This window comes from Homo sapiens, chromosome 4, assembly GCF_000001405.40.
Source record: "Homo sapiens chromosome 4, GRCh38.p14 Primary Assembly".
Classification (NCBI taxonomy): domain Eukaryota; kingdom Metazoa; phylum Chordata; class Mammalia; order Primates; family Hominidae; genus Homo; species Homo sapiens.
This window is the reverse complement of record NC_000004.12, coordinates 173,348,603-173,370,770: the sequence shown is the minus strand read 5'-3', so window position 1 is coordinate 173,370,770 and position 22,168 is coordinate 173,348,603. Positions and strand designations below refer to the sequence as shown.

At 38.3% G+C, this 22,168-nt stretch overlaps 1 long non-coding RNA gene across 7 annotated transcripts, besides 2 other annotated features; it reads left to right on the top strand.

Annotated features, from left to right (window-relative positions):
* SAP30-DT (SAP30 divergent transcript) lies at positions 73–21,540 on the top strand. 7 transcript variants are annotated; one of them, NR_183973.1, is made up of 4 exons: positions 73–479; positions 1,161–1,337; positions 19,285–19,405; positions 19,944–21,540. It is a non-coding gene; the product is annotated as an SAP30 divergent transcript (long non-coding RNA). The 7 variants fall into 7 exon arrangements; NR_183968.1 differs by lacking the exons at positions 19,285–19,405; positions 19,944–21,540 and adding an exon at positions 6,573–6,991; NR_183970.1 differs by lacking the exons at positions 19,285–19,405; positions 19,944–21,540 and adding an exon at positions 6,573–6,991 and having other exon boundaries at positions 73–857.
* Positions 357–596: an enhancer, noted in NCBI's record as "active region_22158". NCBI's record gives its function as "activates an Ori minimal core promoter by ATAC-STARR-seq in GM12878 lymphoblastoid cells {active_cell/tissue: GM12878}" and the evidence as "EXISTENCE:reporter gene assay evidence [ECO:0000049][PMID:35858748]".
* Positions 3,062–3,131: an enhancer, noted in NCBI's record as "active region_22157". NCBI's record gives its function as "activates an Ori minimal core promoter by ATAC-STARR-seq in GM12878 lymphoblastoid cells {active_cell/tissue: GM12878}" and the evidence as "EXISTENCE:reporter gene assay evidence [ECO:0000049][PMID:35858748]".
* Positions 21,541–22,168: the final 628 nt, after the last annotated feature.

Here is a 22,168-nt window from a genome sequence, read left to right as displayed (position 1 = left end):
GACGGAGGAACTACTAATCCTAGCATGCATAGCGCGGCCACGGACCCACTTTTTTTTTTTTTTTTTTTTTTCAGTACCGGGAAAACAGGAGCGTGTGATTGGGGTTTACAGTGTTTTCTCTCGCTCTCTCTGTTTCTAGGGAATTCGGGCTGTGTTTAGCTGCTGGAATATCGTAGAATTGGTTTTCAGAGAAGTTCCTCGACTCCTGAGGCGAAACATAAAGGGATGGGAGTGGTGTGGGAAGTGATCGTGTGGGGAAAAAAAAGTTTCGAGCCCGTTTCGCATTTGTGGAGACAGAGTTTTTGGTGTGACCACTCTTTTGTGGGAAACCCAAACCAAGGAGAACTCAGGAGAATTGGCGCTCTTCGGTCCTGGAGGTTCCGCAGCTAACATCCCGGCTTGACCAACTATCGAGGCCGCAAATTAATAGGGCACCTCCTGGGAGGAAAACGCCCATCCTGACTTCTCAACTGTGACAGGTCCCCCTCACAAACGCCTTGCGGGGGGGTGGGGGGGCGTTTCTAAACACTTGCATGTTCTTACAAGGGAAATGTTTTTATTCTTGGGCGCACCAAGTTGGCCGCCTCCTGAGGTGGAGTACGGACCAGTTGACAACAGGGCTCCTTTTCACCTCCACGCCCAACCTTTTCCATTTCTCCTCAAACGGTTTTGGAGAAGGGCGGAGTCATATCATTTTAAAGGAAACTTGGAACCTCACCAATACAAACGCTGGTCGAATGTTCCCAGAAACTTCCCTGCATTAGCTCTACCGGGCGCGGGGAGCAGAAAGCGCATTTCCTGAGTCCTGAAAAGCGCGTGCGCGCCTGTGTGCTGCCGGCGTTTGGGCGCGCCTGCTTGTATGTATGTGTTCGCGGGCGCGCGCGTGTGTACGTGTGTGTGCGCGCGTACGCGTGTATGTTCCTGCGCGCTTGCGGGGACGTGCTTGTGGAGGGCGGAGAGAGGGATGGGCGTGGCTAATATGAAAGCTGCATCTTTACTAGTTAGCTACCATGCGTCATTATTTATCAAAAGATATATGCTGCTTAAACACAAATACGTTTTAAAATATATTTTAGGCAGTAGGGTTTTGGGTTTTTTTTTTGCAAGTTCTTTTGGTGAGTAAATTTAGTGATAAATGATTTTTTTTTCTTTTGAGACAGTTTGCTCTGTCGCCCAGGATGGAGTGCAGTGCAGTGGCGCGATCCTGCAACCTCCGCCTCTCGAGTTCAAGCGATTCTCCTGCCTCAGCCTCCCGAGTAGCTGGGATTACAGACGCGCGCCACCCCACCCAGATGATCTTTTTAAATGCAAAATGCCATCGACGCAGAAAATCAAAGGTATCCATTGTATCTGTGCGTTTGAGTTCTAGGATATGACAAAGAAAAACAATTTAAATATTACGTAAATTCAGTAGGAAAAAGAAAGATGATGACTGATAAGTACATTGTGTACCTCCTTAAGCTGTGCTGTCCAGTAGGCTGTCCTCTAGCCATATGTGGCTACTCAGCACTTGAAATGTGGTTGAGACGGAAAAACTGAATCGTTAATTGAATTTGAATTAAACAAAAACCAAAAACCTGATGCTCGATTCAATTGTTGGAATACTTTTAAGTGTGTTTGCAACAACTCAGATATATGAATCTGTTTTTCCAACTTAAATTTTATGAACTCTAACTTTAGCATATGAATTGAGATGTGCTGTAAGTATATATCAGCTGGACTTTTTTTTTATTTCTGGACTTACTACAAGAAATTTTCAAAAAGAATATTGAAGTGCACATTAAAAATTTTTATATATGTTTAAATGTTTTGGATGTAATGGGTTAAACAAAATATTACAATAAATTGTACCTGTTGCATTAGATAACACTGGCTTAAAGTATTACAACACAGTAGGGCGTGGTGGCTCACGCCTGTAATCCCAGCACTTTGGGAGGCCGAGGAGGGTGGATCATCTGAAGTCAGGAGTTCGAGACCAGCCTGGCCAACATGGTGAAACTCCGTCTCTATTAAAAATACAAAAATTAGGCAGGCATGGTGACACAAGCCTGGGGTTCCAGCTACTTGGGAGGCTGAGGGAGGAGAATTGCTTGAACCCAGGAGGCAGAGGTTGCAGTGACCTGAGATTGCACCACTGCACTCCAGCCTGAGCAACAGAGCGAGACCCTGTCTCAAAAAAAAAAAAAAATTACAACACAGAATAATTATATATTTATGGATACATGTTATATATTTATGGATACATTTTCTTAAGTGGTAAAAATGAGAATATATGGATGGGATGATACATCCCAACTTCAGGGTGATGCTCATCTCCAACGAAGGAGGCCAAGGAATTTGTATATGGTGTCAGAGTAAACATAAAATATAAAGAGATGAATTTCTAAATTTAATGGTTTTTTGGGGAAGCAAGAATTGCAGTTCAGGACATACACACAGACTGAGTGGTCTTTAGTATGTCAGAAGAACAAAGAGAAGGTCGAGAGTTTTATTAGAAAGAGAAATGTTGCTACTGTTTTGAAAGAAGGTTCATTGGCACTATAGTAAAGTTTTGGGAAGCTGGCAAGCTCTGATTGGTGAGTGAGAGTGGTAGATAAAACCAGTCTTAGTCATAGGAGATTGTTTCAGCAACTACTCGGTAAAACTGGTCTTAGAGTTACTGCAGGCCGTTTCAGCAGCTGGGTTGTAAAAAACTTAATTCTTAATGCTAGAGCTGTGTGCCCTGATTGCTTTCTCCCCTGGTCCCTCGATTCTGATTTAGTTGGGTATGACAAGAATGATCCAGATTGTATGATCAATTTTCACACTGGGAATGGCTTAAAGATGGTTTCTTCTGAATTTTAAAGTTTTTATTTATTAAAAATATCTGAAACATGACAGTGGGATGTTGAATTTTCATATTTTTCTTTGTACATTTATGTGTTTTTAAAATAGTTCATGAAATTCATATTGTTTGGTTCTTGTGCTTAAAAAAGCTTATATCTTCTGCAAAATGTGACCAAATCATGTAAATTCAGTAGGAAAAAGAAAGATGCTTACTGATAAGTACTTTGTGAATCTCCTTAAGCTGTGCATGTATGTATATGTATAGTTATCAGTTTCATATGAAGCTTACTCAAGTAAAGAACTGTAGCTATGGCTCCTTTACACACAATACAATGGTTGTAAAAAGATCCTATTAAACAGTCACTTGTTGCATGCTAGAATCTTTTTCTAGGCCCTGGAGGCACAAAAATAATTGAGAGGGTCCTAGCTATTTGGGAGCTTCTTGTCTAGTAGGGCAGACAGGTAGCTTAACAAGCACATAATACAAACCTCAATAACAATAGAGAGAAAGTACAGGCATAGCACATAGGAGGAAATGATTCATTTCTGGCAAGTTGAAAAGATTGCTGGAGTAGGGGACATGTTAATTCTCACTGCCAGATTTAAAGTGTATCTTGAGTGAATCTATTTGTTTAGATACATTTTTACAACCATGTTTTGTTACTTATTTCTACAAATCTTCATATTTAGGGCAGGTATAAGAACTCTTTGATTTGAGTGTAACTCACAGTCAAGGTTGGAATCAGGTTTTAGGGGGGCTTCAAGATTATATAATCTGAAAGGTCTTTTTAAAGAAGTATGTAAAATTATGAATGCAAAATTAAAATTAGGTACAGGACTTCATAAGGGTCTATCCAAGTGAGGGACTCTGAAGTTTGAATCCTTTAGCTTCACAGTAAATCTACCTCAGAGTAGACTAGGTAAAAAATATAGATCTATGAAACCTTAATTATAGGGGGGTTGTTCATATCAACAAAAATGCTCTTTGCTTTCTAAAATGGTTCAAAATATGATTCTTAAAAAAGTATGTATCCGTGCCTGTCTTCCCTATAGGCTTTTAACATGATTGCATTTTTCTGGCTTTACTTTAAAATAAGCAACTAAATAATTTTATTTAATTTACAAAAACATATAAATTGGCCAATAATCCCAACATGACCACAGTAGAAAATTCAAATAATACAAAAAGGTTCATATGAAAAACAAAAGCCTGTTTTACCTCATCTCCTCAAATCCCTGTCCCTTGAAGCAACCAGTGTTAACAGATTATTGTTTCCTTCTAGAAAAAAGTATGCATTTACTAGTATATACATCTCTATATGTGAATAATTCTATATTTTACAGCAAAAGTTCATTCCGTTTTACACCACCTTTCCTTTATCTAGTTTTAAACTCAGCCATCATACAGAAAATTGTATAAAGCATGAATGTCCAGTTTAAGCAGTGCTGTGGTTTCAGTGTTTGTGTGTGTCCCCTCCCAAATTCATTGTGAAACTCAATCCCCAATGCAACAGTACTAAGAGGTGGGGCTTTTAGGAGGTGGTGAGGCCACCCTCATGAATGTGATTAGCGCCTTATGAAAGGGATAGAGGGGGCGAGTTTACCCCTTCCATCTCTTCCACCATGTGAGGATGCAGCAAGAGGCACCATCTTGGAAGCACAGAGCAGCCTCCACCAGACACCAAGATCAAATCTTGATCTTGAACTTCTCAGCCTCCAGAACCTTGAGAAAATAAATTTCTGGTTTTTATAAATTACTGAGTCTCAACTATTTTGTTATGGCGGCACAAATGAACGGAGACAAGCAGTTATGGTAAAATGCACATCCGTATAACTGCTACCCAGGTCAGGAAAGAGAACATTGCTGAAAGGGCCAGCTTCAGGGACTTGCAGTGGCACAGGACCCCAAGCTCAGAAGCCAACATGCTCCACTCTCCTCCTCCTTCCTGCTTGACATTTAATGCCCTGCAATCACCATCATGTAATTCTCAATAATTTTATCTTTGAATTTGTGTTTTATCAGTGAAGTATCAATGGGACAATGCATTGATTCAGGCAACATGGGCCTCCTGCCACCTCCCTTCCTCCCCAGAATGAGTTCTGGCTGCTCACTCTCTCCACTCCACCCCACCCCACCCTCTGCTCTGGCAGAGGCTGAGCAGGAGGTACGGTGCAGGAAGTGTCTGGCTGAGGTGCAGGATCCTCCCCATTTCCTCTGAACCAGGAGTCAGGCCCCTAGCTCCTTTGGGTCAGTTTTCCACCTGTGCCCAAGGGAGTGCCACATTAAATAGCAAATAAGAAAACACCATGTGAGGAGAAAGAGAGGGAGGGAGAGAAAAAAGATGTTTGTTCTGGACACCACAAATTATGTAGATGGCCCTGATTGACAACATGCCAGAAAGCCATCACCTGCCACTTCTTCATCATAAATCCCATCTCCCAGCTAGCAGGAGTAGCTATCTTGACTTTTATGGTATTTGTTACCTCGTTTTTCATTACAGTTTTGCCACATAGTTCTTCAACTTTTTTTTTCAGTTTTGCTGTTTTTGAACTTTATATAAGTGGACTCATATACTTTATATTCTGTTTTCTTTGGGTTCATTTACTCTGTTTTTCAAAGGTCTACTTTTATGTAGTTTAATTCTTTCTCTTCATTATGGTATGAATAAACTACAATATATCCATTCTATTGTTGATAGACATATGGATTGTTTCCCGTTTAGGGCTATTAAAAGAATGTTGCCATGAACATTCTTATTCTTGTACATGTATCCTGATACATACGTGACTGCAGGTCAGTAAGATATATATGTTGTTAAGTTGGAGTGAGAACTTCCAGCTCCTTGCTTACATATGTAAACAGAATTGCTGAGTTTTAAGGTAGGCGTAGATTCAACTTTACTAGATATTTCCAAACTTTTACACTTCCTTAAGCAATATATGAGAGTTCTGTATCTTTGCCTACCATTTGATATTGTACTTTCTAAAAAAGATCAAGTAGGTATGTATGGTATCTAATTGTGATTTTAATTTGAACATTCTTAGTTACTAATGAGATTATATATTAATTGGTCTTTTGGATTTCTCGTTTGGAAGTTCCTAGTTAGGTCTTTTGCCTATTTTTCTATTGGGATTGTGTCTTTTTCTGTTGATTTGTAGTAGTTATTCATGTTTTCTGAATAACAGCCTTTTCACAATTTTACATATTGCACACATCTTTGCCTACTTCATAATTTGCCTTTTGACTCTGCAGTGGCAACTTTTGTTTAAAGTCTTTTAATGAGGAAAAAATATATCTATCTTTTCTTTTCTGACTGATGATTTTTGTGACTTAAGTAAGTTCCTTATCCCCAAATCATGAAGATATTTTTCTACATTATCTTCTAACAGCTTCATTGTATTGCCTTTCTCATTTAAGATTATGATTGATTTTTGTGCACAGTGGTTGAGGTACAATTTTATTTTGTATATGCTACCCATTTGACCAAGTACCATTCACTGGAAAATCTATCCATATTCCATTCTTTTACAGTGTCACCTTTGTCATAAATCAAGTTGTATGTATGTAGGTCTGTTTCTGAAGCCTAGTCTTTCCATTGTACTTTGCCAATTCCACAGTCTTAATTATAAAAGTCGTTCAGAAAAATTTTGATAACCTAGAAGTATAGATCTTCTACCTTATTTTTTTTTCGTCAAAACACAGACTTGGTTATTCTTGACCCTTTGTATTTCCTTATACATTTTAGAATCAGCTTAAGTTCCAGAAAAAAGAAAAACCAACCAAATGAACAATAAGACAACAACAACAACAACAAAAAAGGCCTTTTGGGATTTTGGATGATATTGCATCAAATCCATACATTAACCTGAGAGACGAGCGACTTCTTCAACATTGAGCCTTCCAATCATGATTTTCAATTCATTTAGGTCTTCTGTAATGTTTCTTAATATAATTGTATTTGTTGCTATGCAGAAGTTTCACTGATCTTTTATTATATCTCTATATATATTTGATATTTCTGACACTATTGTAAATAGTATCTTTTTAATATTTCATTTTCCTTTTTTGTTGCTTAAATATATATAAAATAAGCTAATTTTCCAAACTAATTTTTATATCCAGCAACCCTGCTAAAATTTCTTATCCAATAAAAATATAAATGTATTTGTGTTTGGGTTTCAATGCATTCAATCATACCATTTTCAAATCGTTGAGTTTTCCTTCATTTTTTATTCCCTTTTTTCTTGTGCTACTACAGGTTCAGGACTCTAGAACAACATTATAAAAGAGGTGTTAGCAGGCAAAAATGTCTCATTTCCAGTTTCAAAAGAAAGGCTTTTCATGTTTCGCTATTATGTATCATGTCTGATACAGATTTTTTTGTTTTTCATCTAAATTTTTATACCATTTATATGTTCATAACAACCTCATGTTTTTAAGGTGTGCAAGATCTGACCCAGTGTCCCTATCTTCATCATCAATTATTAGTGCCTTCTCTCTTTTGTTAATCAGTCTCACCAGTGTTCTATCAATTTTATTAGGCTTTTCAGAGGACCTGAATTTTGTACATAGTTTTTATTGTATTTTTTTCTATTTCAATTATTCTATTTTCTTTATTATTTCTTTCTACTTTCTATTTTGCTGTTCTTTTACTAACTTCTTTACAAATATGTACATTAAAAGCTACAGATTTCTCCATCAATATTGTTTTAACTGCATCACACAAGTCTTGATATGTATTATTACCATTGAATTTAAAACATCATCTAATTTTCCTATCATTTTTTTGATGCATAGATTTAGAAGTATGTTTCTTTTTTTTTCTTTTTTCTTTTTTTTTTTTTTGAAATAGAGTCTCACTCTGTTGCCCAGGCAAGAGTGCAGTGGCTCTATCACTACTCATGACAGCGTCAACCTCCCCAGGCTCAGGTGATTCTCCCACCTCAGCCTCCCAAATAGCTGGGACTACAAGTGCAGACTACCATGCTCAGCTAATTTGTTTTTTGTGTGTTTTTTATAGAGACAAGGTTTCTCCATGTTGCTCGGGCTGGTCTCCAACTCCTGGACCCAAGCCATCTGCCAGCCTCCCAAAGTGTTGGCATTACAGGTGTGAACCATGGCACCCAGCCTAGAAGTAGGTTTCTTATTTCCAAACATATGCAAATAATGTGATTATCCTTTTCTTATTGATTTCGAACACATATAAATTGTCACTTTAGAACTCTGTATGATTTAAATCCTTTAAAATTTATTGAGGGTTTCTTTTAACTTATCTTCCAGTCACTCATTATCTCTTTAGGTGTCCCTAACCTGCTCTAAAATTCACCCGTAGTCTTTGTACTTTTAGTTATTACATTTTTTAGTTTTATAATTCCTATCTGGTTCTTTTTAAAACCTTGAATGTCACTTTTTTATGATTTCTAGTTCCTGGACAAAATTTATATGCTTGACTTTTTCTTTCATGAACATAGTAAGCATAGTAGTTTTTAGACTTTGTTATTAAGTCTGTTTCTTTTGTCTATTGTTTCTCCTGGTGGCTGTCTCATGCTTACTCTTCCTGCATCCATTAATTTTGATTGTTTGCAGTTCATTTAATTGGAAAAACTGATTTAATATAAACAATTTGAAGCACTGGATGATGTAATGTTCCTATAGAGAGGCGCTTCTTTTCCTTCCATTGGGTGCTAAAGGGTGCCAGTAGTCCTGAATCAATGCTTGAGGATTTCTGAGCCAACCAGATCATTCTAGTCCCTCTCCCCACTTTTGGCCTAGGCTTCCCAGGGTTCTATCCCAGAGTAGGAGGTGTTTCACTAGGGTTACCACCATCAAGGTATACTGGATTCCAACCCTACATCAAAGTGACTGCCACACGCTCAGCTCTTCCTCTTACTTCCTATTTTAAGTCACTTGGTTATAACTAGTACAGTATATAGTAAAATAACATCTGCATTCTGATACTATTCATAGTCTTAACATTTTGCTCAGCATATCTCTGTGGCTTTTACCTTGATTTTGTTCTCATGAGAGAGTGAGGCATAAAAAAGATGGAGATGTAGTTCCCAGGTAATGCTGGAACTTGCTCTGGGTACAAAATTATTTGTGACTGACTAGCAAAATAGAATGTTAGTAATTTTTAAAAAGAAACTGAACGTAGATTAAAATCTCCAGAACTAAAATGAGAATTATTATAGCATTCTCTCACCCATAATCCACCTAGATTGGAATACGTTCTCAAACACTTCTGTACAGTGTTCCAGTTACTTGGGTTCAGGAGAAACATTTTGACTAACAATCTTCTTTTTAGTATACCAGAATAAAACGTTGAAAGCACCTCACTGAGGTGCTTTCATTTTAATTAAAGAAAAAAATCTACACTATATGCTGCAAATGACTTTATATAAAAACTGCTTTGGGATATTACCTTCTATAGTTATAGCCTTGGTGTCATTGCAGATGGGAACATCTACATAACTGACTCTAAGTGGGCTACTGACAACTATAACATTCTTCTTCATTATCTGAAGCCAATAATCAGAGTACTTCCCTAGAATTTCTTCATATTTTTTGAAAACATGGAACAGAAATGAATTATATTAGCATTCTAAAAGAATATGAGGTCTGCTTAGTTTTGAAAGTTTTCATTTCTTCTCCTGAAATCTATCCAGAGCAACCAAGAAAATGAAAATAAATTCATAGAAACTGAACTTTCAGCAAATAGCTAAGAAAACTCCAAAACTCCAAAATTAAATGTGAATGCTGCAATAGGCAACTGAGGACAGCAAGCCCACATAGGAAATCAAGACAATATGGGAAAGTACTGGAAGTGGGGAAGGAGTTTAGTGGTGGCTGTACCCTAAAAACAAGGCTGCGACTGAATAGGCTCCAAACATTGGGAAGGGAGAGAGAGAAGGACAGAAGCTGCCCAATCAGAGATTGCAGACCTTAGAAAGCACCAGTAAAATAACTTCTAAAAGCAGTATCATCATCTTAGAAGGCAATATCTGTGTCCCTGCAGCCTGTGAATAAATCAGGAAGCCCAGGACTGTGTGTAGAAGCTCTTTGGAACCAGGTTCAGTTCTGAGAGGCAGAGTAGGTGTTCACAGAGTTTAAGAAAAGAGTCGTCTTCTATAGCAACAGAAGAGGGAGCCCTCGAGAGATGAATTTTATAATGCTATCCTAATCTTTCTTTTCACCTCCTGTTAGTAGTCCAGGAAAATTTCACTAATTTAAATTCAAAGATTATGAAAGTCATATGCAGAACATCTATTCAAAATTATAATAAAAAAACTGTGAAACGGAGTAGCACGATTTTCCTGCAGAAGATGAAAATTTACCAGAAAATGGTTGTCATAAAACAAATGAAATTTATAACTCAACATTCCAACGTGAATTTGAAAAACTTAAGGAAGCAATCACAGGTATGAAGTAAAATCATGAAAAGTAATATATTTGACTCAGCAGGGAGTCAGACAATAGGTTATTAATACCTACTTTTATAGGAATATATTCAGAGAATTGATTATTTTGGTATTTTAGAAGTGCGTAGCAAAGAATTAACCTTACCCAAAAAGAAGTCTGGCCTTTGTCCTTGTATCCTAGGAGGTGATCTCTAGGAAGAGTGGCTTTGTTTACCTGGGAGCCTTTAGCTACACTGGATGGTGTAAGAATGTGATTTATGATGTGGTCTTTGGGCCATGAGATAGCCAGTCTACCTCCAGAGGGGCTGCAGACTAAAATTTCCTGGACTCTGCTCTATGCACCAATTCCCTTGGAATCAGCATCCTTTTTTCCCCCTTTTACACACACACACACACACACACACACACACACGCACACACAAATTTTAAAAAGATGGAGTCCATGTTGCCCAGGCTGGTCTTGAACTGCTGGCCTCAAGTGATCCTCCTGCCTTGGCCTCCCAAAGTGCTGGAATTACAGATGTGAGCCACTGTGTCCAGCCAGTATGCTTTTGTTGTAATAAACCATAACTGTGAATATAATAGTTATCAGTGAGTTCTCTCGGTCCTTCAAGTAAATTACCAGACTTAAGGGTAGTCCTGGTGTGTCCAGAATTTATTCCTTCTGGTGGGTTCTTGGTCTCACTGACTTCAAGAATGAAGCTGCAGACCCTCGTGGTGAGTGTTACAGTTCTTAAAGATGGTGTGTCCGGAGTTTGTTCCTTCAGATGTTCAGATGTGTCCAGAGTTTCTTCCTTCCGGTGGGCTTGTGGTCTCGCTGACTTAAGGAGTGAAGCCACAGACCTTTGCAGTGAGTGTTACAGCTCTTAAAGGTGGTACGTCCAGAGTTGTTCGTTCCTCCTGGTGGGTTCGTGGTCTCACTGACTTCAGGAATGAAGCCACAGACACTCGCAGTGAGTGTTACAGCTCATAAAGGTGGTGTGGACCCAAAGAGTGAGCAGCAGCAAGATTTATTGTCAAGAGCGAAAGAACAAAGCTTCCATGGAAGGGGACCTAAGCAGGTTGCCGCTGCTGGCTCAGGTGGCCAGCTTTTATTCCCTTATGTGGCCCTGCCCACGTCCCGCTGATTGGTGCGTTTTTACAGAGTGCTGATTGGTGCACTTACAAAACCTTTAGCTAAACACAGACGTTGATTGGTGTGTTTTTTACAAAGTGCTGATTGGTGCGTTTACAAACCTTTAGCTAGACACAGAGCGCTGATTTGTGCATTTACAACCCTTTAGCTAGGCAGAAAAGTTCTCCAAGTCCCCACCTGACCCAGAAGCCCAGACAGATTCACCTCTCACTGGGAACCCTGAACTCTTAAGTTGGGGTCAGAAGTGAAGGTGATCTCTTGTGGATTGCTCCCCTAACTTTGAAGGAAACTTTTGAAGTTTTGCTACAAAATATGTAATCAGATTTTATAAGTATTGCTTGTTTATAAGGTATATTTTGGGTTTGTACACAACAGACCCCATTGAGTAGATATGTGGACTACTATTTGTGTGTTTCTGATAATTTTTCTTGTAAAACCAATAATCCTTGCTACATTTATTTTAATGCCATGTTATCTTTAATATGGAAGATACATTTGATCCATGAAAAGACCTGTTTTCCCTGTGTGTGGTTTTTTTTAAGAATGAATGTGTATTAAAGACATTGTTCTAATAAGTAAAAAGACAAAATAATTATGTCCATTTTTGCCATTGGTACCTAAAATTTACAATTTAGTCTGACTAAAAGAAATGTCACCCTTATGCTCTGCAACAGTGACTTTAGGATATAGATGTAATGAGAAATTAATTTTCTTTAATTATTTTTCTCTTCCTATCTTATGTTTAGTCACTTCAGCCACTCTCGATGTCTTCTCTTCCATTAAACCCCACTGCCCTTCCTTCCCATCTGCCTGGTGAAACTTACCCCAGTTCAATCCAATCTTAGTTGACTGCCCCCTCCTCCAGTGCTTCATGCAGGTCCTTCTCCCCATCCCTAGCTAGTTTTGAATCCTCAATACTTTCTCTGACCTCCCATTCCACCAACCATCCCCTCATTTTCACCAAAGACCAACCTGCTATTAAACAAAGAAAATTGAAGCTAACAGTCCGCAATTCCTTGGTGGCCTCATGCCTACCAACAAAATGGTCTGCATTCTCACAGATCTTTGCCTCTTCAGTGGAAGAGGGAGGAATCCTTTTATTTGTTTTCTGGATTTCATTACCTCTCATCTCTCTAGGTTTTTTGTTCCATTAATTATTCTCCCATTCTCCTATATTTTCAGTCTCTTCCTGCAAGCTACACATTGCTCAAGTTTCTCCCATATTAAAACAAACCCCGTGTGTAAGCCATTACCCTCCCTTAACTCTAAGAGGCACTCTAGATATTTACATAAGCCCTTGGATTCCCTTAATAGTCAAGCTGCTTAGAAGGCTAATCTATACCTATTTTCACTTGTTTACCTTGAATTACTTCCCACGCTTAAGACTCTTCTTCCATCCTCTCCCTTCCTGCATTGCTTACCATCATCTACAGGATAAAGTCTGAGCCCTTTATAAATTGGCCTTGTACTAGCTCTATAGTCTCTAGCCTCTTTGCTACCACTCCTCACCTTGCATTTTACTTATACATCACTGAGCCATCCAGATCACACAACACTCTTTAAAGTATCTCTGCTTTTGCACATGCTCTTTCCTCCTTCCGCAATCATGTTTTTCACTTACACCATACACACTCTATTTGTCCTTCAAACCCTAATCTGGGATCACCTTTTCTTCTGAAAGCACCCTCTTAGAAATTTGAGGGAAACATATAAATAGTACTAGCACTCCTCATCTGAGTTTCGAACCAATTTTTATGTAAGACCAAAGAGTATGGCAGGTGGAGAACCATCTCATTTCCTTTATTGCTAATAAAGCTGATGCTGGGGAATGCAGCTCCCCTCTTTATGCAATAATAATGAACCTTGAAAATAGGCAGACTACCACTAAATCATAGGGAGAGCTGGAAAGCCACAGGCCACCTCTCTTTTGTGCTGTGGCACAAAAGTAAGCAGAACATGTGCAGTATGGGAGGGCAGGCTAACTCCCCAAGGAGAGAGGAGGAGACTGGAAGAGGAATGCCAGTTTTCTTTCCAAATTCACCAATCAATAATCCTACTTCTTTAGGGCAGGAGTGGGTAGGGAAACTGAGTAAGACAAAGAAGAATTTCCCCACCTCTACTTGCCATTCTGAAGATTTTCTTCTATAAGCCCACTATGCTTAAATACTAAGCCTAGAGTCCTCCCAGAATGTGGTTATCCTCTTTGGGAGCTCAGCAGTTGACCAAGATAATTTTGCTCCCACTTTCAGAAGTCAGCTCCTTCCTCAATCCTAATCTCCACTCTTTTGTGAACAAAGTATATGGTGTAGCTCTGTTCCCCGGAAGGCTCTGAAATGGATCAAAACAAGACATTACTTGGATCAATTTCAAGGACACTTGATGCTCAAGGCTGAAAATTATTCTATTTCCTACTTCAAGTTATATCTAGTCATGTTGTACACCATAGTAAGCAGAGAGTCTTTAATGACTTCAAATTAAAACATAAAGATATTCTGAGAATAAAATGTATAAAATCATTTCAATGACAAAATACTAACAATACACAGATCTATCACATTTAAATACAAACCACCTCCCATTGTCAAATTCCTAAGGAAAAATTAAAGTGCAACAGTTAAATCCCCTGCAATCAAGCCCCGATCTTTTAAGAGGCAGCTCCCCTAACTGCCCTTACAAAATCAATCTATGCCCTGAGAAACTCTCAGTGGTTTCCCAGATCCTGATTCCTTTTGAGGAGCTGTTCTAATCTGCCCCTTGAAATCTTGTCTCTCTTCTTCTGTTAGATTTATTTGGGCCTCAATCATTTTTCTGATGTAATAACCGTAAAGACATTTTCCCATGTTCTAGTGCGTTCTTTGAGGACATTTAGACACAGGTGCATCTCCATTTCTCTTTTATATGTGTCCATCTTGGACTTTAAGATCTTATTTCCATTTCACATCTTTCTTGTCTTTCCTTCCAAAAGCTCTCTTCCCAAAAGGTAGATGTTCTCTTAAGAAAACCTTTTTCTTCCTCAAGTGCAACCAGCCTGCCAACCTTTATTTTGTTTTTATTCTGTTATTCCTGTTCTGAAAAAAAGACTGAAGCACACTTTTCAAGCCACCCTAGCTTCTATATTATTTCTTTTTTATTTTATCTTATTTTTTTAGAGACGTGGTCTTTTTTTTTTTTTTTTTTTGAGATGGACTCTCGCTCTGTCACCCAGGCTGGAGTGCACTGGCGCGATCTCAGCTCACTGCATCTCTGCCTCCCGGGTTCAAGCAATTCTCCTGCCTCAGCCTCCCGAGTAGCTGGGACTACAGGCGCTCACCACCACGCCTGGCTAATTTTTGTATTTTTAGTAGAGATGGGGTTTCACCATATTGGCCAGGCTGGTCTTGAACTCATGACCTTGTGATCTGCCCACCTCAGCCTCCCAAAGTGTTAGGATTACAGGCGTGAGCCACTGTGCCCAGCCTAGAGACAAGGTCTTGCTCTGTCACCTAAGCTGGAGTACAGTGGTGATAATAGCTCACTGTAGCCTTGAACTCCTGGGCTCAAGCAATCCTCTCTCTTCAGCTTCCTGAGTAGCTGAGACTACAGGTGTGCACCAACACACCTGGCTAATACATACATATATATATATATATATATATATATATATATATTTTTTTTTTTTTTTTTTTTTTTTTGGGGGGGTCAGGGGGAAATGGGGTCTTGCTGTGACCGGGGTATGGCATCCTTGATTTCTTGAACACACTTGATTCCTAAAGCCAATTTTCAGAGCACAATATTTTAAATTGCTTTAAATTTAAATTGCAGTAATTTCATCAAGCTGTTTCTCTATTCCAACCCCAAAAGAGGGTGTAGCCTTTATAATAAGAATTCCCATTATTTGATAATAAAAATACATTACCCTTCTATGAATGAAGCTACTATTTGAGTATAACATGACAGATAAAGCCATGGTCAGAACATATGAGATTAACAAATTAAAATCAACCTGATAGGGAGTGACCCTCAAGAGCTTGTGAGCAATCCACATGAATCCAAGAGGTTTGTACAGTACTTACATAGTTTCCTCCTTTGGTCCTATAGGTAGACAAAAACAGTATACAAATGGATAGGATTTGGCTTATCCACACTGTCCAACTAGGCCTAGCAGTAACAATTTAAAGCTAAAATATTAGTGCTTTGTAACATACATGAAACTTGGGTATAGGATGAGTCTTGCCCTGTAGACCTAGTTGAAAAATGTAGTATAAGCAGCAAATAATTGATCTGCCTCTCATGTCTCTTTTGCCTATGATCGTATCTTTTTAAAATTAGGGCTCGCACATGCTACAGAAATCTGTTGGTTTTGTAGGGGCTCCACACGAGTGAGCTAAGGTGCTGCTGTCTGCTCTCTGAGGATTGTGTCTGCTAAGGTCCTCCTTGCCTTCTATTTACTAAGGTCTCTGACGTCTTTGTAGGTTTGTGGAGCCTAGTCTGATCTATGAAGCAGGGGTTTTGCTTACTTAGGCCAGTCAGTAAGGCCCATCTGTATTTTCCAGCATTTTTTTTTTTTAGACAAGGTCTCGCTCTGTTGCCCAGGCTAGAGTGCAGTGGCATGACCACAGCTCGCTGCAGCCTCCTAGGCTCAAATGATTCTCCCACCTCAGCCTCCCAAGTAATTGGGACTACAGGAGCAAACCACCATACCTGGCTAATTTTTTAAAAAAATGTTTTATAGTGATGGAGTCTTACTGTGTTGCCAGGCTGGTCTCAAACTCCTGGGCTCAAGTTATCCTCCCACCTCAGCCTCCCAAAGTGCTGGGACTACAGGTGTGTGCCACTACGCCCAGCCTCATCTGCTTTTTAGAGGCTGTTTGCTGAGATTCATGCATGTTTGCTTAGGGCTAGCAGGGCCCTTTAAAAACAGCTATTTGTCTATTATTATAAATTTTAGTAGTCCACCAAAGTGAATGAATTCATAAGACCTAAGATTTAAAGACACTCACAGACAGCACAGCACAGCAGCAAACTGTGTAACTGTAAAAAATCTGTCAGGTTGCAGAATAGAAGCCTCAAAGACCAAGGTCAAGAATTCACATGGTTTGTGCTCACAAAAGCACCATAAAAATTTAAAGCTACTTATACAGCTGACTCTAAAAGTCTCAGTCCCTCTGTGTGTTTGATCTCCCATCCACCTCCTTTTTGTTGTCTTATTTCTTGATGATTTTGGCTAATGCACCAGATGTTATGACCATACAGAAGCTCATTAAATAATATGAAGCAATTGAGAAATAAGACCAAAGACATCACATATAGAGAATAAACATCCCCTCTATTACTGATGAAATAAATAATAGAGAATTGACTTATTCAGCAGGCAAGTGAACTTCCTAATACTAAACCCCAGGATTAGAGAAATTAATCTTTCAACCAAAGGCCATACTCACACTGAACTTTGAAAAATAACGCATGGATGAAGGGAACAGAATGTGTGATTCCTGAAGGCAGCTTGCTCCTAAGAGAAAAGGGAAAAAAAAATGGCTGGACTATATATATCCAATTTATTTTCCCGAACTCGTTACTTGATCATTCACTCCAACTCCCTTGTGAGCTGTTACAAAAATTGCTGCTATAAACACTCCAGTATGTTTACTGAATTATATTTATATACATAAACATTTCTGTGAGTATAGACCTAGGAGTAGAATTGCTGGGACACAAATATGTCTATGACCAGCTTCAGTAGGTGCAAATGATTTTCCAAAGTGGTTGTAACAATTTAGACTTTCACCAGCAGTGTATGACAGTTAGACGCTCGATCCTTGCCAAAACTTTTATATTAGTTTTTAAAGTTTTATCCATCCTAGTGGTGTGAAAAGGTATCTCATTATAGCTTTAATTTATATTTCTTTGATTATTGTTATTAAACACATTTTTATGTTTATTGGCCATTTGTATATCCTTTTTGTAAAATGCCTGCGCAAGTCTTTTTGACCATTTTATACAAACGATGTCTTTTTCTTACTGATTTGTAGGAAGTCCTCATGTTTTCTGGGTATGAGATCTTTATTGGATAGATGTATTGCAAATATCTTCACCCACCCTGGGGTTGGCCTCTGCACATCCATAATCATGTCCTTTGATGAACAGAAGGTCTTAGTTTTAATAAAGTCTAATTCGTCAACATTTTTCCTTTTGCTTAGTGCTTTCTGTGTCCTGTTTAAGAAAATTTTATCTCCTGGAAAGATACTGAAGATATTCTCCTCTGTTATCCTCTAGAAACTTCAGTGTTTGTCTTTTACATTTAGGACTAGCATCTACCTAGAACTGTTATTTGTATATGTTGTGAAGTAGCCATTCAATTCAAATTTTTCTGTGTGGATTTCCAATTAACCTAGCACCATTTATTTAAAAATATCATCCTTTCCCAACTATACTGTACTAAGACTTTTGTCATAAATCCGGTGACTTTCTATGTGTGTCTTTTCTGTTCCCTTGGTCTGTATGCCTGTTGTCTCACCAATATCACACAGCTTAACTGTTGCCATTTTATGATAATCTTGATATCCAACATTTGATGTCTGGTCTTCCAACTTAGTTGCTCTTCAAGATTATTGGCTTTTCTTGGCCCAGTGCATTTATACACAAATTTTAGAATCAGCCACATTCCTTAAAAACCTGCTGAAAATTATGTTAGGATTGCATCCAATCTACCCAGCAATTTGGAGTTTTTAAACAATGTTTTTTATTTTACTTTATATTTTACATATGCCATTATTTTACATATTACATTTTTTTTCTTTCTGATTTTTATACTTTGGGGGGAAAGAAGGGCTTTATTACACTGGAGGGAACCATCAATACATCAATACAAGTTTGAATAGGAATGTGATGGTGAATCTCCTTGTCCTAATCCCAATCTCAGGAGAAAACTTACTTCCACATTTCACTTTAAATACAATGTTTGCTGTAGGGCTTTTGCATATATCTTTTATCAAATTATTGATGGTCCCTTTTACTACTTTGCTAAAAGTTTTAAAAATTATAAATAGGGGTTTAACTTTATCAAATGTTTCTGCATCTTGGGATGATTGGATGATTTTTTTTTTCATTCCATTAATACAGAAAATAACGTTGATATTTATTTTTTATTTTATTTTATTTTATTATTTTTTTGAGATGGAGTCTCCCTCTGTCACCCAGGCTGGAGTGCAGTGGCATGATTTAAGCTCACTGCAAACTCTGCCTCCCTGGTTAAAGCAATTCTCCTGCCTCAGTTTCCCAAGTAGCTGGGACTACAGGCACATCCCACCATGCCAGGCTAATTTTTTTATTTTTACTAGAGACGTGGTTTCACCATGTTGGCCAGGCTGGTTTCAAACTTCTGATCTCAAATGATCCACCTATCTCGGCCTCTCAAAGTGCTGGGATTACAGGTGTGAGCCACCATGCCTGGCCTTTTTATTAATTTTTGAATGTTAATCTTGCATTTCTGGAAGAATGCCAAATGGGCCATAATATCATCGTTTTTGAAACTTGCTGGATTTAATTTATCAATAATTTGTTCAAGATTGTTGTATGTATATTCGTAACAGAGACCTGCCTGTAATTTACTTTTCTTGTAAAGTATTTGTCAAGTATTGTTGCCAACACAGTTGTTAGATTTAGCAAATAACAATATGGGAAACCCAGTTAAATTTGAATTTAAAGATAAATAATGAATAATTTTTACTATATCTTGTGAAATATTTTATACTAACAATTATTCATTATTTATCTGAAGTTCGAATTTAACTGGGCAACTCTAGTTACCAAGGTTTTGCTTACTTCATAAAACAAGTTCAAATATTTCCTCTTTTGTATTTCCTATTTTGTATTGAAGAGTTTGTGAACTTTCCAAATATGTGATAGAATTTATTTTTTTTTTTCAGACAAAATCTTGCTCTGTCTCCCAGGCTGGAGAGCAGTGGCACCATCTTGGCTCACTGCAACCTCCACCTCTTGGTTCCAGCAATCCTTCTACCCCAGCCTCCAGAGTAGGCGGGATTACAGGTATACACCAGCACGCCTGGCTAATTTTTGTATTTTTATTAACAGTAGAGATGGGGTTTTGCCATGTTGGCCAGGCTGGTCTCGAGCTCCTGACCTCAAGTGATCCACCCGCCTTGGCCTCCCAAAGTGCTGGGATTTACAGATGTGAGCCAACATGCTCAGCTCATTTGATAGAACTTGTAAGTGAAGCAAAACATGCTGAGAATTTTATTTGTGGGAAGGCTACATACAAACTCAATTTGCTAATAGACAGAGGAACATTCAGGTTTTCTATTTCTTTATCTGTCAGTTTCATTAAGATGTTGATATGGTTTGGATCTGTGTCCCTCCCCAATTCCCATGTTGAATTGTAATCCCCATTGTTGGAGGTGGGGCCTGGTGGGAGGTGACTGGATCATAAGGGCAGTTTCTTATGAATGGTTTAGCACCGTCCCCTGGCTGTTCTCATGACAGTGACTTCTCACAAGATCTGGTTGTTTAAAAGTGTGTAACGCTTCCCCTTTCCCTCTCTCTCTCGCTTCTGTTCCTGCCACATAAGACAACTGCTCCGGCTTTTCCTTCCACTATGATTGGAAGCTTCCTGAGGCCTCCCCAGAAGTAGAAGCCACTACGCTTCCTGTACAGCCTGCAGAACCATGAGCCAACTAAACCTCTTCTCTTTATAAATATCCCAGTCTTAGGTATTTCTTTATAGCAATGCAAGAACGAACTAATACAGAATGTGTTTTCAAGAAATTTGTCTGTTTCATCTGAATTTTCAATTGGATTGACTATGATATTTCTCTTTTTTTGTTTGTTCATTTTTGATGAGGGGATCTTACTATGTTGCTCAGGCTGGTTAAAAACTCCTAGACTCAACCAATCCTCCCATTTCAGCTTCCCAATAGGTGGTAGGATTTCTAGTTATCTTGATTTGTTGAGTCTTTTATGAAATATTCTTTTTGTTTTTAGTAGTATTATCGAAACAAATTTGACTTTGTCTGCTATTAGAGAAGTCATATCAGCTGTCTCTGGTTAGTGTTTTTATGATAAACTTTTTTCCATCCTTTTTCTTTCACCTCTGTGCCATTTTTATGGCATATCTCTTTAAACAGCATATGATTGGGTTTTTGATTTTGTAACCAGTCTGACAATCTTGGTCTTGGTATACTTACTCAATATATTCGAAGTTAAAACTACCACATTACATTTATTTTATATTTGTTCTATTTGTCCTATTTCATTTTCTTCTTTCCCACTTTAACAAATTATTTTTATCTTTCAATGCCCCCCTCCAGTAGCTTGTTATTATAGTTTTTAAAATTAAACTTTTACTCTTAATTGCATATTGTCATACAGTTGTAAGAAGCATTACAGAGAGACACTGTGTCTTTACCCCATTTTCTCCAATGACAATATTTTGCAAAACTGTAGTACAGTATCATAACCAGGAATTGACATTGATACAGTCAAGATACAGAACATTTCCATCACCACAAGGATCCCTCAAATTGCCCTTTTATTGCCTCACCCACTCCCTCCCGTCCCCACTGCCTTCTGAACACCTGGCAACCACTAAGCTGTTCTTTATTTCTATAATTTTGTCATTTCAAGACAAAATATACAAAAAGGCATGGGCTTATATAGTATGTAACCTTTGGAATTTTTTTTCTTTTTTGAGACGGAGTCTCGCTCTGTCGCCAGGCTCGAGTGCAGTGGTGCGATCTCAGGTCACTGCAGTCTCCACCTCCCGTGTTGAAGCAATTATCCTGCCTCAGCCTCCAGAGTAGCTGGGACTACAGATGTGCACCACCACACCCAGCTAATTTTTGTATTTTTAGTAGAGATGGGGTCTCACCATGTTGGCCAGGATGGTCTTGATCTCCTGACCTCATGATTTGCCCGCCTCAGCCTCCCAAAGTGTTGGGTTACAGGCATAAGCCACTGTGCCTGGCCTGGAATTTTTTTTTCCCCCACTCAATGTAACTCCCTGAAGATTCATCCAGGCTGTTGCATGTATCAGTAATTTGTTCCTTTTTATTGCTGAGTAGTATGGTATGGATTTAGAACAGTTTGTTTAGCCATTCACCCAGTGAAGGACATCTGGGTTGTTTCTAGTTTGGGGATATTATGAATAAAGCTGCTATAAACATTAATGTATAGGTTTTTGTGAAAATGTAAGTCTGTATTTTTCTTTCTTTTTTTCTCCCTACTTACCTTTGGAGAAAGTCCTTCATTTTTCTGAGGTAAATTTCCAAGAGTACAATTGCTGGGCTGTGGGGCAGTTTCATGTTTAGGTTTTTAAGAAATTGCAAACTATTTTCCACAGTGGCTGTATCATTCTACATTCCCAGCAGCAATGCATGAGTGATCCAGCTTCTCTGCATCCTTGCCAGTATTTGGTGTTGTCACTATTTTTATTTTATCCAATCTGATAGGTGTATGGTGATATGGCATTGTGTTTTAATTTGCATTTTCCTAATTGCTAATGATGTTGAATATCTCATTTGCTTATGTGCCATCTGTAAACCATCTATGGTAAGTTTTTGTTCATGTCTTTTTTTTATTTTCTAATTGGACTTTTATTGAGTTTTGAGAGTTCTTTATATATTACAGATATTAGTTCCTTGTCAGATATGTGGTTTGCAAGTATTTTCTTCTAGTCTGTAATTTGCCTTTTACTACTCCTAATGCTTTTCACAGAGGAAAATGTATTAGTTTAGATAAAGTTCAGTTTTTCCTTACATAGATCATGCTATTGCCGTATGTTAAGTCTAAGAACTC